The following is an 18,809-nucleotide window of genomic DNA, read 5'->3' on the forward strand; positions in this document are numbered from 1 at the left end:
ATTTGAGAAACCTCCTTGTCAAGATAAGTCCTGCTACACCACTTTCTGTAACATAATTTTCCTCTAGCTTTCTCCTAGTCGGATGTTTAATTTAGGTAAAAGCCACTGCCTGAGAGAAACAAAGGACAGTACCAGTCTATATCCCTATGGTTAACCAGATATAGCACTAGGAAAATTTTTCATTAAAATTTCTCAGTGATAAACTGATTAATGTTTTTAATATCAGCAGATCCAATTAAGCCATAGTTATTCATGTTCATGTGTGATGTGATTGCTAATTTGGTCAATTTAATTATAACTCCAATGAGTTATCCATTCATTAATAAGAAGCATGTTTTACCTTGAGCAATACTTGGACACATCAACAGACCCTTGACCTAAGTCATGTGTTGCTCCTGGGAAGAACTGATGGGTGACAGGTGACCATTTTTCAAAATCTATACCTGCCATTTGGTTTTGCCTCAATAATGTCAGAATCTTCATTTTTAGACAAGTTTTGTAGAAAATAACCCCAGAGGATTTGAACAGTCATGTCCTAGGGCATAGCACTTGCTGTCAGCTATTCTCCCTGCATAGAAGATACATTGTGCTACTTCTATTTTTTAATGTTAAATTTAAGAGAAATAGAATAGGAATTGCGTTTTACTACTGTATCTAAAATTTTCCAGTTTAATGTATTACAAATTTAATTCTGTTTCGTAGAAAACATCTATTAATAGTTTTCCACTCTAAAAATGAATTTGTTTATGTAGATCTACTTTGCTGATTGTAGTATTGTCTTTGAATTAGTGATCAATATATGGTGCTATTTCTCCCATGTAATACATGTAATACATGAGTCCAAGAATCAAGGGATGTAAACTAACACAAAGAATTGAATTATCTAATCAGGCTCAGAGATATTACCCAGTAACATGCTTTACTAATAAATTCAAGGGTACAAACAATCAAAAGGCACAGATGAAGCAGGAGAAGTCTGTGTCATTCTTTAGGAAGCCATGACTCATGAATTCATAAGTTGGCATACCATAAGCAACTCTAAACCAAAGACAAGGAAATCCTTTAAAAAGTATCCATAAAGATTTTCTTTCTATTTAATGTCATTAGTTTATTTACCAAGATAGTGAGATATCAACTTGTTTGTAAGTTGATTAGACCACAGCTGTCTGTCTTCTTTCTTTCCCTTGGGTATTATTCCCCCTCATCTTTGCAACTGACAGAGAAATTGATCACTTGGCAACTTTAGCTCCTTTTTTCCCAGGGTGGAATGAGAGTGGCTTCCTTCACTATTATCCTTAACCTACCTGCAGAACTTTTGCTTCTCATCTCTGTAACTTTGAGCATTGCTGATTCAAAGGTCTTGGTTCCCAAGGGAAAAAAAATAATGCTTCCACCAGTCAATGCACAATGGTTCCGTTAAAATGGAAGTTGAGACTTTCACCTGACTATTTTAGTGAGTTACAATATTGGATGAAGTGATGGGTCCAAGTTATCAAGGGGAAATACTATTGTGGCTATACAATGGGTCAGGGAGCACTACCTATGGACCCAAGGGAGTCCTCTGGGGTGCCATATGTATTAATAAATATTAATGGAAAATCAAAATAATCCAAAATTTGCAAGACACTGAGGTTTCAGACGCTTTAGTGTCTTAAATGACCAAGTAGATATTTTCAACCTACTAAGGTGCTGGCCAGCTACAAAGGGAATACAGAATGGTTTGTGAAAGAAGGAGGTTATACATATCAACTATACTCATGGCAAGCTACAGAATTAAGACTACTACAGCTGTACATATTTCCTTCTGTGATTATCATATGTGTATACATATGAACTAATTTTTTCTCCCTTCTTTCATCTTCTAATTTTACATAAAGATTGTTGTTGATGGTTAATTTTACAATTAAGTTTTTAAGTTTCTCAATACTCATGAAATGTTGACAGAATTAGAGGAGAATTGACATTGCCCAGATATTGACACTGAAGCAGTCTATTAGAAATGAACAGAATGACAGTTGGGACACTGCGTCTGCTTTTCGGGGGAGAGTATTTAAAAATGAAAGTATTTTAATTTGTGTGAAGGATAGTTACATCTTATCTTATAAAGCATAAAGCTGTTGTTGTTATATGTGTAAAGGTGCAAAGTAGCCAAAAAGATAGACTGCCATTAGCTATTGTCTCTCAGCTCCAAATTCACCCTTCTCTATTCTGTTTTGTGATGATGGGGCTGGGACTTTGCAAAATATATTGCAAATATATTGCTGGCAAGAGTGCTTATCAGCTCTCTTCCTGTTAGGTTCTGCCAATGGAGGGCAATAAAGGGAGACTAGAAAACCCTGCTGAACTATGTTATTTGAGCTAGCATTTTATAATGTGCTTTATTTAGGCATCTGATTTAAAATGGATACCTAGGAATTCTCCCAACTCTTCCTCTAAGTCCCTGTGAAAACAATGAAAAGATGAAAACTCATCACTGAAAATACAGATAGTGTTACCGTATTGTCAGATTCTGAGAGTTCTTAAAAATTAATTTCAAGACTGGTGATAATTGTCAATTCATGTCCTTGGCCCACTTTTTGATGGGACTGTTTGTTTTTTTCTTACTGATTTGTTTGAGTTTGTTGTAGATTCTGGATGTTACTCCTTTGTCAGATGTATAGATTGTGAAGATTTTCTCCCACTTTGTGGGTTGTCTGTTTACTCTGCTGACTGTTCCTTTTGCCGTGCAAAAGCTCTTTATTTTAATTAGGTCCCAGCTATTTATCTTTGTTTGTATTGCATTTGATTTTGGGTTCTTGTTCATAAAATCCTTGCCTAAGCCAATATCTAGAAGGGTTTTTCCAATGTTATCTTTGAAAATTTTTATACTTTCAGATCTTATGTGTAAGTCCTTAATCCATCTTGAGTTGATTTTTGTATAAGGTGACAGATAAGGATCCAGTTTCATTCTCCTACATGTAGCTAGCCAATTATCCAGCAGCATTTGTTGAAGAGGGTGTCTGTTCCCCACTTTATGTTTTTGTTTGCTTTGTTGAAGATCAGTTGGCCATAAATATTTGCGTTTATTTCTGGGTTCTCTATTTTGTTCCATTGGTGTATGTGCCTATTTTTGTACCAGTACCATGCTGTTTTGGTGACTATGGCTTTATAGTATAGTTTGAAGTCAGGTAATATAATGCCTCTAGATTTGTTTTAGTTTTTTTTTTTTTTTTTTTTTTTTGCTTGGTCTTGCTATGGCTATGTGGGCTCTTTTTTGGTTCCATATGAATTTTAGAGTTGTTTTTTCTAGTTCTGTGAAGAATGCTGTGAAGAATGATGGCAGTATTTTGATGGGGATTGCATTGAATTTATAGATTGCTTTTGGCAGTATGTTCATTTTCACAATATTGACCATACTTATCCATGGGCATGGGATGTGTTTCCATCTGTTCATGTCATCTGTGATTTCTTTCAGCAGTGTTTTGTAGTTTTCCTTGTAGAGGTTTTTTGACTCCTTGGTTAGGTATATTCCTGAGTATTTTATTTATTTTATTTTTTTGCAGCTATTGTAAAAGGGGTTGAGTTCTTAATTTAATTCTTCACTTGGAAACTGTTGGGTATGGGTTGAAAAACTGTTGGGTACTACACTCACTACCTGGGTGCAATATATCCATGTAACAAACTTGCACACATATCCTCTATATCTAAAATAAAAGTTGAAATAAAAAAAATGACTGATGATAGAGAAATAAAGGACAATCAGTGAATGACACAGTCATATTCTGTGGCCAGAGCAGAAGACCCAACCTCAGAGAAATGTGGAATGAAGACACCCTTGATTCCTTTTCCTCATGACCCCTAGTACTTATGGTTGTTGATAAGAAGTTTTATGTTATTCTGATCCATGATCCATTATAAATCACCGAATTTTTTTTCTCTCTGAGAGCATTTGAACTTTTTATTTATATGTGATGCTTTTAAATTTACAATAATTTGCATTGATGTCTTGATTTTTATTATTCAATTTACAACTCACATGCTTGGCACTTATCTAAAGACTCACATGGAACTTCAGATCTATAATATTGTTTTCTATTATTTCTTTGAAAATTTCTTCCCTCTGTTTTCTCACTCTATGTTCTTATTAGTTGGATGTTAAACTCTTCTAAGTTGGTGCTTTTCCCTGGATTGTAATTTTTGAATCTGCAGTCATTTTTTGTTTAATCTTTTTTATTTATAGTGTCCAATATCTTTAATGTTTGGTATTTTTGCATTTTTTTTTTTGAGATGGTGTCTCGCTCTGTTGCCCAGGCTGAAGTGCAATGGCACGATCTTGGCTCACTGCAACCTCTGCTTCCCAGATTCAAGCTATTCTCCTGCCTCAGCCTCCCGAGTAGCTGGGACTACAGGCGCCTGCCACCATGCCCGGCTAATTTTTGTATTTTTAGTAGAGACAGGGTTTCACCCTATTGGCCAGGCTGGTCTTGAACTCCTGACCTTGTGATCTGCCCGCCTCAGCCTCCCAAAGTGCTGGGATTACAGGTGCGAGCCACCATGCCCGTCTGCATGTACATTTTTAATTAAAAATATTATTTTTAGAGATTTTGTCTGCTGTCTGTCTTCTGCTGACTTTCCCAGAAGTGGCAACATCTCAAATTTCAGAATGTGGGCATATACTAAGGCAAAAATGCATGTTAATACTGATAGACCAGTTTGAAGATAAACACATTGTTGTTGTTTTTTTGTGATTTCTTTCTTTTATTTGGCTAACGGGATAAATCCTTGCCTGCCAGGCATTCTGTACACTGAAGTGGAAAGTTTCATTGTTTAGTATTTATTATCCAATTATTCCAATTTTCATACCCACCTTTTTTTTCACACCGGTGATTTATAGTATTAAACGTTTCCAGGGTCTAGCCAGTCATATTAATTTCCTTTGCACACATCATAGGGGATGGATTCTCATACTGTATATCAATCACTACTTCTCTGTGTGTTCTCTATCTTGCAGAAAATTGAAATTACTGTATCTATCACTTTCCCCATGCCAAATGTCATTATTTTAGTTCACATACCCATAATGTCTCTTCTTTGACTCATAAAAGCCATGGTAATGTAACTTTCAGTTTCTTCTCATTTCAGTTAAAACTTGCTTTCACCATCAGGGTTTTCTACCTAAATAACAAATATAATTATGTCATTATAATGTTTAAAAACTTCTCTAATTTCACCATTGACTAGGGAATTAAATGTAAACCTGTATTTTAGCCTACAGTGTCTGTAAAAATCTGTCCCCAACATAATATTTGTGTATGCTTTTAATAATTAGCTTAACTTGACAGTATTTTATTCTATGTTTTCTAGACAGTATGCCTATTAGAAAAGGGGCAGGTTTTATTTACCTGCGCATCTCAGTGCCAAAAAAAGTTTGCCACAAAATTTTTTTATTAATTGATTCCAAACACTTTTCAAGAATTCCTACAATATCAATTATTTGTCTAGATTCTGGATATACAGTTTTGAAGGAGACATATAGAATTACTGTTTTCATAAAAATCTGTCAGACACATTAAATATATGTGTAAAACTTTCCATCCTGTCTCCTTCCCATCCATGTCCTGCAGCTGAATTTTTCACCATTTTCATAAAATAGCAAGAATATTTAGAATTCTGGGTCTTGTCAATTCATTTCTGTGGTGTAAGACTTAAAATTAATACTCAGAATTATGTGCTACCTTGATATCTGGTAAAATCAGGAGGGCTTGAATGTCCTAACCGCAAGTTCCCCTCTACATTCTGACTCCACAGATAAGGCCCCCTAGATAACCAACCCTATCTATCAAAGGATCAGGCATAATTCTGGTTCATCTCTGTATTGTGAGTTCAGTTTCCCAACAGCTATGAAATTATTCAAATAAGGAAATCACATTGTCCTACAGGAAACAGGAGTACCCCACCCTCTTGATGCCACAAAGCCAGTCTTCCATGACCCCTGGCTGCTCACTCTGTTCCTATGCACAATCCCTGTGTGGTGCAGTGTCCCCTTCCTCCTAGATGTGAGTGTATGTGACTAATAGCTGCTGTTGATCTAATTTGTCCAGTGTTGGGAATATATATGCAATTGTTCCTACAACCATAGGGCAAGAAAACCTCTCTCACCAATGAGATGAATAGGGAGCTATTGAAATAATTCCTCTGCTTGTAAATCTGAACATTTCTTTGACTTATCTAGCCTAAAGTGTCTTCTTTCGTAAAGGTTTTTCAACTTATCAGGAAGATTTACTCCATTTTCTTTACTATTTCTAATTTTTATTAATCTCTTTATAGTATGACACTTTTTATTGGTGCATATTATCTTCTCTCACATATCGTGAGCATCTCAAAGAAAAAATTCTCTTTTTATTCCTAGTAACTAGTAATATGCAGAATACTAAGTATTTGCTCAGAATTATTGGTTAGAAAAATCAATATATCCAAATATATGTTCTTCTTTTTAGCTGGGGCTCAGCAACCATTTAGAACCATTTCACTGAGAGAGTCTTCCATGGTACCTATTATTTAGCAAAACTTAGTAACCTAAGATTAAAAGTTATGGCCAAGAAAATTCAGTTTGATTCCTCAAATAGTTTTTGTATATAAAGAAAATAAGCATGTAATAATATGATTGAACTGGAATGTTTTCTATACAATTGTATACCATTTGAAGATTTCATTTTTATGATAGTATATTGAGATAACTAAATGTACAAGACAATAGAAAAAGACTAGGAAAGAACATGTTCTAAAATATGTCTCAATGAAGTAAATAGTTCCTGAGAGCTCTTGTATATTCAGGCAATATAATTTTATGGAAATTGCTGGAAAACCATTTGAAATCAAAAGAGTGGCAATCTCTGTTCCATTCAGATTGCTTCATTAAGTGTAAATAATAGAAAGCCATAGGAACTTTCCATCATCATTTCTGAACAGTTGATTGAATTCCTAATAAATAATGGAAGGCAGAATACACAAAGTGGCACATTGTTAAATTCTTGTACTAAATGTTTTGAGAGAAAGTCTGGGAAATAGGGTTCTGATAAATTTCTATATAAATCAGTAAATAACCTAATTTGCCAAAGGAAGGAGTAAACTACCTCTGTAGTGTAGTGTTTATTGGAGCAATGAGTTCTTTTATGTGAGAGAGAGAAGAAAAACAGAATGGAAGTACAGATAAATAGAGAAAACGAAGACTTCATATGGGAACCGAATAGCAGAGAATGTTCCTATGATTTTCAGTGAAACAATTGCAACATACTTTAGTGTGCATAATTCTAGATAATGGCAAGAAAAAAAGCATAGCCTTTTGACATTTTACACAAGAATTATCCTTAGTGAAAAAATATGTTAAGAATGCTATTTCATAGTGACATATCCATTCAGAACCCTAATGTATTAGACTTTGCAATGTCTAATTGCATCAAATAGATGCTACTATGAAATAAACCATCTCAAAACTTACCAGCTTAAAACCATTTATTTAGCTTATGATTTTGCTGGATGTCAAATTAGGCTGGGCTCAGTTGGACAATTTTTCTTCTTGGATGAGCTCCTTCAGACATTTTTAGTCAAGATGTGATCAGCAGCTTTGGTGATCTTGGCTGGGCTTTCTCATATGTCGGAGGGCTTTTATAAGACAACTAGATAGACTCTGTCCTGGTTCACACAATCTCTTATCATCCAGGAGACTATCCCAGGCTTGTTCACATGGTGGCTGGGCAGAGTATCAAGAGGAAAGGAAGCATGCAAGGACTCTGGAGGTCTGGTCTTTGAACTGCTACACTATTATTTTTACTGTATTGTATGTGCCACCACAGAATCATCTCAGATTGAAGGGGTGGAGATTTATGGACTTCTTCGTAAGAGAAGCTATGATGTCACATGGCAAAAGATACTCATATAGAGAAGAACAGAGTATGGTAATTGTAGAAATTTAGCACATACATCTACAGAAAAAATGGAGACTACTGAGAACAAAGTCCTAGAAAATGATGACGGACATAAAATATTTTAAAATCAGAAGTTCTTTCAGAATATTGTTTTAAAATTTGATAAGTATTTATTTTAGGTTTTTATTTCCATTCATCATTTCTCACAAGTATTGATGAATGTTATAGCAAAACAATGGATCTTGCACAACTTAAATGTAAGCTAATCTACAAAGGAATATAAACTCAGTTGCCATTACTAATTACACAAATTCATGGTCTTCCATTGATTCTTTTCCAGCTAAAAATAAATTTTCAGCTATTCTTGTGTAATTTATTATAGGTTAATAAATTTGAATGGAAAGGGTTTACTGATAAATTTGATATTTCATTAATATTATTTAAAAACATGTAATAATTTAAAAGATCTAGGCCGGGCGCAGTGGCTCACGCCTGTAATCCCTACACTTTGGGAGGCCAAGGTGGGTGGATCACAGGTCAGGAGATGGAGACCATCCTGGCTAACATGGTGAAACCCCGTCTCTACTAAAAATACAAAAAATTAGCTGGGTGTGGTGGCAGGCACCTGTAGTCCCAGCTACTCGGCAGGCAGAGGCAGGAGGATGGCGTGAACCTGGGAGGCGGGGCATGCAGTGAGCCGAGATCGCGCCACTGCACTTCAGCCTGGGCGACAGAGCAAGGCTCCATCTCAAAAAAAGAAAAAAAAAAAAGATGTCGATAATAACAATTTAAAAGGCAATGATTGATTGCAGTTTTCAGTTATATTTGTTATTAGAGAAAAAATGAATAGATTCTCTCTGTAATTGATAAGTATTTTTTTAAAAATTTCCTGTACCATAGCTAAAAATCTGACTCCGACAAAAACATGAAACCTCCTTCACGTAACTATAGAAGTTCCCACTACAGAGTGAGTGATCATAATCAACCGGTGTTGGTTCTAAAATATGAGCTAGTTAAATTATCTGCAATATTTCTTAAAACAGCATTTTCAGCTTCCATCACATAAAGATTGATTATATAGAAACAGAAAACTGAGGTACCCAAATAAAACACTCCCTAATTTATTTATTATTAGCTAGCTCAGACAGCAAGGAAACCAAAGTTTTATCCAATTCAGATAACTCATATTCAAAGAATATTACCATGAATATTTATATTAATAATCCATTTTTATATACTGGCAGCCAAACAAAACAGTGCTGAAATGAGTTAACACGAGATTTCAGAATTTAAAAAAGAGAGAGCCATCTACCTGAATTGCTAATTGATGAGAATACTAGTAAAGACACTAGTGTTATTATTTAAGTAAAATAGTGACTAAACTCTTCCCCCAAAACACAGAGGAGATGAAACAAGGTAATTGCTTTTCTACAGTCTAAATTATAAAGCATGCCAGTGCTAAAAATTATGTTTGACTTCATATGGGAACCGAATAGCAAAGTTCTATGACAGGGAAAAATAATTTTGCTTAACTTTTAGACAGATTCAGTGGCATATAGAAAGCATAAGATATTTTCCCTTTTCTCCATACAAATTTTAAAAATATAGAATAATTGAGTTGAATTGTAGTGCATGTCAAAGGAACATTTCAGTTGTTCTCAATTGGGTTATTATTGACATGATCAACCACATCAATTGTAGGCTATTGCCTATGGGGACAGAGTTGGAAAGAGGAATGAAAAACTTTCATTTTACTATTGGTTAAACCACAGCTATTTGAATCTAACTTTCAATGCCACTTAAATTTATCGTACATGTATTTCATAGAAATAAATAATTGGACTACAATAAAAACCTACCAGTGTTAGAAGCTCAACCTGAATGAATATGCTTAGCTAAGTCAATTTCCTTTCCAAGTCTATATATTTTCCAAAATATATTCATATATTTTGGTTATAATTTCAAATTATGTTGTTCAATGAAATCAAACAATATTTTTTTAAAAATCAGTATAAGTATCTGTAGCTATTGGCACATAAGATGTTAAACTGTTACATTATTTTCAAAACATGTTCCAAACTTAAAATACTATGTCATCCCAAACTGAGTCAGAACGTTTGGAGATTGTCTGTTATTAACATAGTACCTGATGAGCAGTGTTAGAATTATTTAGAATCACCAATTCAGTGTCTGTGTTATAAGCACGGTGTCTGTGTTATAAGCAGCGTGTTAAACTTTTCAGATTATGGCAAACATAGTTTCTTTCTAAGTCAAATTTGCAACTGAATGGAAAAGCTCACCATTTTTTTCTTAATCTTTTAATTGAATTTTTTATTTGTACAAATTTATGGGGCACTTGGTTACACATACATGATGTGTAGTGATCAAGTGAAGGTATTTAGAGTGTCCATCACCTGAGTACAACACACTTTTATTAGCTATAATCACCCTACTGTACCATCAAATATTAAATTTATTTCTTCCCACTGTATATTTGTACTTTTAACAGAGTTTCTCTTTGTCATTCCTCATACTGTCCCCGCACACTCACCTTTCCCAGTCTCAGTTATCTATCTTTCCACTATCTACCTCCATGTGATCACATTTTTAACTCTCACATGTAAGTTAACAGCATGAGGTATTTATCCTTTTGTGTCTGGCTTATTTCACTATGATAATAACCTCTAGATCCATCCATATTGCTCCAAATGATATGATTTAACTCTTTTTTATGGCTGAATAGAATTCCATTGTGTACATATATCACATTGTTTTTAAACTTTTAGGTACAGGGTACATGTGCAGGTTTGTTTTATAGGTGAACTGCAGGTCCTGGGGCTTTGGTGTACAGATTATTTCACCATCTAGGTGACAGACATAGTATCTGATAGGTAATTTTTCTGATCCTCTCCCTTCTCCCACCCTCCACCCTCAAATAGGCCCCAGTGTCTGTTGTTTCCCTCTTTGTGTCCATGTGTTCTTGTTGTTCAGCTCCCACTTATAAGTGAGAACATATAGTATTTGGTTTTCTGATCCTGCATTAATTTGCTTAAGGTAATGGCCTCCATCTCCATTCATGTTGCTGCACAAGACATGATCTCATTCTTTTTATGGCTGTATACTATTCCATGGTGTATGTGGTACATATTCCATGGTGCATGTGGTACACATACCACATTTTCTTTATCAAGTCTATTGTTCATGTGCATTTAGGTTGATTCCATGTCTTTGCTATTGTGAATAGTGCTGCAATGAACATACACGTGCATGTGTCTTTATGGTACAATGAGTTAGATTCCTTTCGGTATATACTTAATAGTGCGATTACTGGGTCAAATGCTAAGTTCTTTGAGGAATCGACACACTGCTTTCCATAATGGCTGAACTAATTTACACTCCTACCAAAAGTGTATAAACTTTCTCTTTTCTCTGCTACCTTGCCAGCATCTGTTATTTTTTCACATTTTAATAATGACCATTATGACTGGTGTGAGATGGTATGTCATTGTGTTTTTCCACTTGTTTTTGTCACCTCTTTTCACCTTCCTGGTTAGCTGCATTCCTAGGTATTATATTCTTTTTGTGTCAATTGTTAATGGAATTGCAATCCTGATTTAGCTCCTGGCTTAGATCTTGTTGATGTATAGGGATGCTACTGATCTTTGTATGTTCATTTTGTATTCTGAAACTTTGTTGAAGTTGTTTATCAGATCAAGGAGCTTTTGGGCAGAGATTATGATTTCTAGATATAGAATCATGTAATCTGTATACAGGGATAGTTTGACTTCCTCTCTTCCTATCAGGATGCCTTTTATTTCTTCCTTGTGCCTAACTGACCTGGCCGAGACTTCCAATACTATGTTAAATAGGAGTGAAAAGAGAGGGCACCCTTGTCTTGTGCCAGTTTTCAAGAGAGTGCTTCAAGCTTTTACTCAGTCAGTATGATGTTGGCTATGTGTCTGTCATAGATAGCTCTTATTATTTTGAAGTATGTTTCTTTGGTGCTTAGTTTCTTGAGCATTTTTAACATGAAAAAATGTTGAATTTTATCAAAAGTGTTTTCTGCTTATACTGAGATAATCTATTGTTTTGGGTGGTGTGACAGTTAATACTGTTAACTTGGTTTGATTGAAGGGTACAAAGTATTGATCCTGGGTTTGTCTGTGAGGGTGTTGCCAAAAGAGATTAACAATTGAGTCAGTGGGCTGGGAAAGGAAAACCCACCCTTAATCTGGGTGGGCACCATCTAATCAGCTGCCAGCATGGATAGAATATAAGCAGGCAGAAAAATGTGCAAAGAGAGACTGACCTAGTTCCCAGCCTACATCTTTCTCCCGTGCTGGATGCTTCCTGCTGTAAACATCGGACTCCAAGTTCTTCAGTTTTGGGACTCAGACTAGCTCTCCTTGCTCCTCAGCTTACAGACAGCTTATCATGGGACCTTGTGATTTTGTAAGTTAATACTTAATAAACCCCCCTCATATATATATTTGGTCAAGTGTTGATTTGAGGTCCTGAATATCTTTGTTAATATTCTGCCTTGATGATCTGTCTAAACTGTCAGTGAGGTGTTGAAATGTCCCACTATTATTCTGTGGGAATCTAAGTCTCTTTGTAGGTCTTGAAGAGTTCGCTTCATGAATCTGGGAGCTCCTGTGTTGGTGTGTATATATTTAGATTAATGAGGTCTTTTTGTTGAATCAGGCCCTCTACCATTACATAATACCATTATATAATATGTGTCATTGCATGGGAAATGGGTGTCTTGAAGACAGAACTGTTGGGTCTTGTTTATTATCCAAGTTGCCACTCTGTGTCTTTTAATTTGGGCATTTTAGGCCATCTACATTCAACGTGAGTATAGACATATATGAATTTGATCCTTTCATCATGTTGTTAGCTGGATATTATGCATACTTATTTGTGTGATTGCTTTATAGTGTCAGTGGTCTGTATACTTATGTGTGTTTTTGTAGTGGCTGGTACTTTCTTTTCTTTCCATACTTAGCACTCCTTTCAGGACCTTTTGTAAGGCAGGTCTGGTTGTAACAAATTCTGTTAGCATTTGCTTGTCTGAAAAGAATCTTATTTTTCCTTCACTTATGAAGATTAGTTTGGCAGGGTATGAAATTTTTGCTTAAAAAATTATTTTCTTTAAGAATGCTAAATATTGGCCCCCAATCTCTTCTGGCTTGTAGGGTTTTTGCTGAAAGGTCTACTGTTAGCCTAATGGGGTTTCATTTGTAGGTGACCTGCCCTTTGTCTCTAGCTGGCTTTAACACTTTTTTCTTTTATTTTGACCTTGGAGTATCTGATGATTATGTGTCTTCAGGGTGATCTTCTTTTGTAGTATCTCACATGGGTTCTCAGCATTTCCTGAGTTTGAGTGTTAGCCTCTCGAGTGATGTTGGAGAAGTTTCCATGGATGATATCCTGAAATATGTTTTTCAAGTTGCTTGCTTTCTCCCTATCTTTTTCAGGGACACCAATGAATTATAGATTTGGTCTCTACATAATCCCATGTTTCTTGGAGGTTTTGTTCATTCATTTTAATTCTTTTTTAAAAAAATTTTGGGCTGGGCACAGTGGCTCATGCCTGTAATCCCAGCACTTTGGGAGGCCGAGGCGAGTGGATCACGAGGTCAGGAAATCAAGACTATCCTGGCTATGGTGAAACCCCATCTCTACTAAAAAAAAAAAAAAATACAAAAAATTAGCTGGGCGTGGTGGCGGGCACCTACAGTCCCAGCTACTCGGAAGGCTGAGGCAGGAGAATGGCGTGAACCGGGTGGAGCTTTCAGTGATCCAAGATCGCGCCACTGCACTCCAACCTGGGTGACAGAGCGAGACTCTGACTCAAAAAAAAAAAAAAAAAAAAAGTTGTCTGAGTAATTTCAGAGAGCCAGTCTTCAAGCTCTGAGATTCTTTCCTAGCATGCTCTATTCTGCTGTTAATACTTGAGATTGCATTATGAAATTCTTGCAGTGTGTTTTTCAGATCTATCAGGTCAGTTTGGTTCTTTTTTGTAATGACTGTTTTGTATGTTAGCTCCTGCATTATTTTATTGTAATCTTTACATTCCTTGGATTGGGTTTTGACTTTCTCCTAAATCTCAATGATCTTCATTCCTATCCATATTCTGAATTCTATTTCTGTCATTCAGGCTAGTTAAGAACCCTTGCTGAGGACATAGTACAATCATTTAGAGGAAAGAAAGCACTCTGACTTTTTGAGTTGACACAGTTATTGTTCTGGTTCTTTCTCATCTGTGTGAGTTGGTGTTCCTTTAACTGTAGTGTACATTGAGTACAGTGAGTGGACTTCTGGATGTTTTCAAAGGGCCAGGGCTTTCTGTAGGGTCTTTATTTGTAGCTGAATTCTTGCCTTTGATTTCACGGGGGGGTATATTAGAAAAGTATTTTTGGTGTTGAAGTTTTGGGCTGCGATCCAGTAGACGGTACTTAAGTGTAATGGCCAGTAGGTAGGGTCCTGCTTGGCCAAGTGACTCCTCTATATTTCCGCAGGATTGCAGCGGAGCTCCCTCTTTCTTCTCTAAAAGTGTGGTATCCTTGCCCACTTGAGTACTGGCTACAGATCTTGGCTTGGCACTCCTGGGCTGCACACTGCAAAGCTCTGGGGCAAGTTCAGGCTTTATGTTCCTTTCCCAGCTTGGAGGCAGCAGGCTAAGGGACCTAAGCAGTGGCTATGGCAGGGGGTCTTTCACTTGTCTGTTGGGGCTCCACCCCAGAGAGATGCAGAGCTGCTATCAATCAGTGCAGTCACCTGGGATGCAGTAGCTGTACGTGGGGGTGGGGAGGGCGGTTGAGGGAGTGGGTCCCCAGGTTAGACAGATTGGTCTCTTCTCCTTAGGGGAAAGTGCAGCTTGCTGAAGATGTAGTGAAAGCACTCAGGGTCTTTGTTCCTTCCCTAGTCCAAAGGCAGCAAGGGCAGTACCACTACAGTGGCCATGGCAGAGGGGATTTTAGTTCCCTCTGGGAGCTCCACCTCAAAGAAACATGGAGCTGCTGCTACTGGTAATGTTCAGCCAGGGGTTAAGGTGGTTGCACTGCTGGCCTGATCTGAGGACTTCATGTGCTGAGGAGTTGGGGTGTTGAAGGCTCATAGGGAGGAGAAACTGGGCTCCTCTCCATGTAGTGACTGGTGCACTGGAAGCCCAGATGAAGCATTCAGGCTCTTTGTTTCTTTACCAAACCGAAGGCAGCAAGGGCAAAACCACTGCTGTGGCAGTAATAGAAGAGCTGTTGGTTGTCTCCACAGGCAAACTGAGAGCACCATCAGTAGGTATTCTCAGTTGTGGTTGGGGTGGCTGATCTGTGGTCCTGAGTCAGGGCCCCTGTTGGTGAAGAATGGGGCATGGGAGAGGCTCACAGGGAAGGGGGACTGGACTTCTTCCCATATGGGGGCTGCAGTGTACCAGAAGTACCAGTGTAGGACTAGGCTCTTCGTTCCTTCCTCAGCCCCAGAGGGGTTAGGGTGGCACCACTGCAGGTGCAATGGTAGAGAGCTTGTGGGTTGACTCTGGGATTTCCTCCTCAGAGAAACGCAGAGCTGCCTCCTTCTGGTATCCAGGTGGGCTAGGGTAGTTGTGCTGGAGTCCCAGGTCTGGAGGCCCCACCTAATGAGGAGAAGTGCAATAGGGACCCACGTGAACAGTCTGACCACATTTCTGTGGGGTGGCTGCACTGTCCTAGGGATCCAGGCCAGTCCCTAATCACCAAGCACCCTCCAGAGCCTGAGAGCAAGAGTGGCAAGAGACGGAGGACAGCCAAGATGGCAGTCTGCCTTTCCCTCTGAGAGCTCCTTCCCAGGGAATCTCAGAACTGCTACCAGCTGGAGAGCCCCTGTGTAGGGTAGCTGTAGTCCCAGGTCGGTAGGTTCTGCCCAGTGAGGAAAAACGGGATCAGGGACCTGCCTCTGGCTGCTTTTCCGTGGGGCAGCTGCACTGTACTGGGGATCCACCTTAGTCCCTCGTAACCACCCACTCTGTAGAACGTGAAGGCAACAGCAGGGAGGGCTGTGAGACACCCGAGATGGTGGCCTGCTTCTCCTTCTGGGAGCTCCATCTTGGGGAAATGCAGAGCTTCTCCCAGCCCAAGGGGGTGGGATGAGAGCGGAGGCGGGGGGTAGCTTTAGTTCTAGACCAGGGGACCTTATCCTGCAAGGTGCAGTGGAAGCGAGGCATACAGTCCATTGCTGCTCAGCTTCTTGGACTTGGCCCCTTTTCTGGAGGCATGTGAAGAAGGCTGACTTCTTAGTTGCTGCAGCTGCAGCCAGCAATGCCCACATTTTCTTTATCCATTCATCTGTTGATAAGCATTTAGGTTGATCCCATACATTTGCTCTTGTGTGTAGTGCTACAACAAACATGTGAGTGCAGATATCCCGTTGATATATTGATTTATTTTCCTTTTTGGTAGATACTCAGTAGGGGGGTTGCTGTATCAAATAGTAATTCCATTTTTAGTTCTTTAAGAAATATCCATACTGTTTTCCATACTAGCTGTACTAGTTTACATTTTCACCAACAGTGTATGAGTACCCCTTTCCTGCATCCTTGCCAGCATCTGTTATTTTTTATCTTTTTAATATAGTCATTCTAACTGGTATAAGATAATATCTAATTGTGGTTTTGAATTGCATGTCTCTGTTGATTAGTAGTGTTGAGTATTTTTTCATATACCTGTTTGCTATTTTTATGTCTTATTTTAGAAATGTCTATTCATGCCCTTTGCCCATTTTTAATGGGATTATTTGTGTGTATTTTCTTTTTCCTGTTGTGTTCCTAGCACAGTCTAGATATTAGTTCTCTGTCATATAAACAGTTTGAAAATACTCTTTCCCATTCAAGAGGTTTGTCTGTTCACTCTGTTCAGTATTTCTTTTGCTGTGCAGAAGTTGGTTTATCTGAGCCTTATTTGGCTATTTTTGTTTTTGATACCTGTGCTTTCGATCTTAGTCATAAATTCTTTGCCTAAATCAGTGTGATACCTCCAGCTTTGTTCTTTTTGCATAGGATTGCTTTGGCTATTTGGGCTCTTTTTGGTTCCATATGAATTTTAGGATTATTTTTTCGGTCAGAAATGATTCTGGTATTTTGATAGGGATTGCTTTGAATTTGTGGATTGCTTTGGGCAATATGATTATTTTACTGACATTAATTCTTCTGATACATGAGCATGGAATGTTTTCTTCCATTTGTGTCAGTTTCAATTTCTTTTATCAGTGTTTTGTAATTTTCCTTGTAGAGATCTGTAACACCCTTTGTGAAATTTATTTCTAGCTGTTTTTTCTTGTAGTTATTGTAAGTGGGATTGCTTTCTTGAGGTCTTTCTTGGCTAGATCATTGTTGATATATAGAAATGCTACTGATTTTTGTATATTGATCTTGTATCCTGCAACTTTCCTGAATTCATTGATCACATATAGGAGTTTTTTGGTGGAGTCCTTTGTTTGTTCTAGATATAACATATATGATCTTACATGATATCATCAAAAAAGAACAATTTGACTTCTTTTCAAATTTGGTTGCCTTTGTGAACCCCAAAACTCTGAGACAGATTTCAGTTCATTTAGACAGTTTATTTTGTCAAGGTTGAGGATGCATGCCAGGGACACAGCCTCAGGAGGTCCTAATGGCATGTGCCCAAGGTGGTCAGAGCACAGTTTGGTTTTATACATTCTAGGGAGACATGAGACATCAATCAACGTATGCAAGATGAACATTGGTTAGGTCTGGAAAGATGCAACAGCTCAAAGCAAAGGTGGGAAGACTGAAAGTGAGGGGGGTGTCTTCCAGGTCAGAGATAGATAACAGACAAATGGTTGCATTCTTTTGAGTTTCTGATTGGCCTCTCCAAAGGAGGCAATCAGATATGCATTTATCTCAGTGAGCAGAGGGGTGACTGAATAGAATGGGAGGCAGGTTGGCCCTAAGCAGTTTCCAACTTGATTTTTCCCTTAGCTTAGTGATTTGGGGGCCCCGAGATTTATTTTCCTTTCACACTTTTTATTTCTTTCTCTTGTCTGATGGCTCTGGCTAGGACTTCCAGTACTATGTTGAATAAGTGGGGTGGAAGGGGGTATCCTTGTCTTGTTCCTTTTCTTAGAGAAAAGGCTTTCAACTTTTCCCCATTCATTATGGTGTTAGCTGTGGGTTTGTCATATATGACTGTTATTATTTTGAGGTATGGTACCTTCTATGCCTAGTTTGTTGAGCTTTTATCATGAAGGGATGCTAATTTTATCAAATGCTTTTTCTGCATCTATTGAGATGATCATGTGGTTTTTGTTCTTAATTCTACTGATGTATGAGACTTACTGATTTGCGTATGTGGAACCATCCTTGCATCCCTAGAATAAAACCCGCTTGCCACTGGATTCAGTTTGCTAGTATTTTGTTGAGGATTTTCATATCTGCATTAATCGGGGATATTGGCTTGTAGTGTTTGTGGTTGTACCATTGTATGGTTTTAGTATCAGGGTTATGATGGCCTCCTAAAATGAGTTAGGGAGAATTCTCTCCTTTTTAAATTATTTTTTGATATGGTTTTAGGAGGGTTGCCATTGGCTCTTCTTTATGTATTTGGTAGAATTTGGTTGTGAATCCATCTGGGCCTGGGCTTTTCTTTTTTGGGAGATTTTTATCACTGATTCAATTTTGCTACTTGTTATTGATCTATTCAGATGTTCTATTTCTTCCTAATTCAATCTTTGCAGGTTATATATTTCTGTAAACTTATCCATTTTCTCTAGATTTTTCAGTTTGTCAGCATATAGTTGTTCCTAATAGTCTCTGATGATCTTTCATAATTCCGTGGTATCAGTTGTAATGTCCCCTTTTTCATTTCCGATTTTATTTATTTGGGTCTTCTCTCTTTTTCTTAG

At 37.6% G+C, this 18,809-nt stretch overlaps 1 long non-coding RNA gene across 1 annotated transcript in view; it reads right to left on the reverse strand.

Annotated features, from left to right (window-relative positions):
* Window positions 1-4,797: 4,797 nt before the first annotated feature.
* The window catches only part of LINC02540 (long intergenic non-protein coding RNA 2540), a 71,176-nt gene continuing 57,164 nt past the window's right edge, over window positions 4,798-18,809 (reverse strand). Inside the window, exon 3 of the long non-coding RNA NR_149101.1 lies at window positions 4,798-5,154. This is a non-coding gene — a long non-coding RNA (long intergenic non-protein coding RNA 2540). The remainder of the gene's footprint in view (window positions 5,155-18,809) is intronic.

Source organism: Homo sapiens, chromosome 6 (assembly GCF_000001405.40).
Source record: "Homo sapiens chromosome 6, GRCh38.p14 Primary Assembly".
Lineage (NCBI taxonomy): Eukaryota > Metazoa > Chordata > Mammalia > Primates > Hominidae > Homo > Homo sapiens.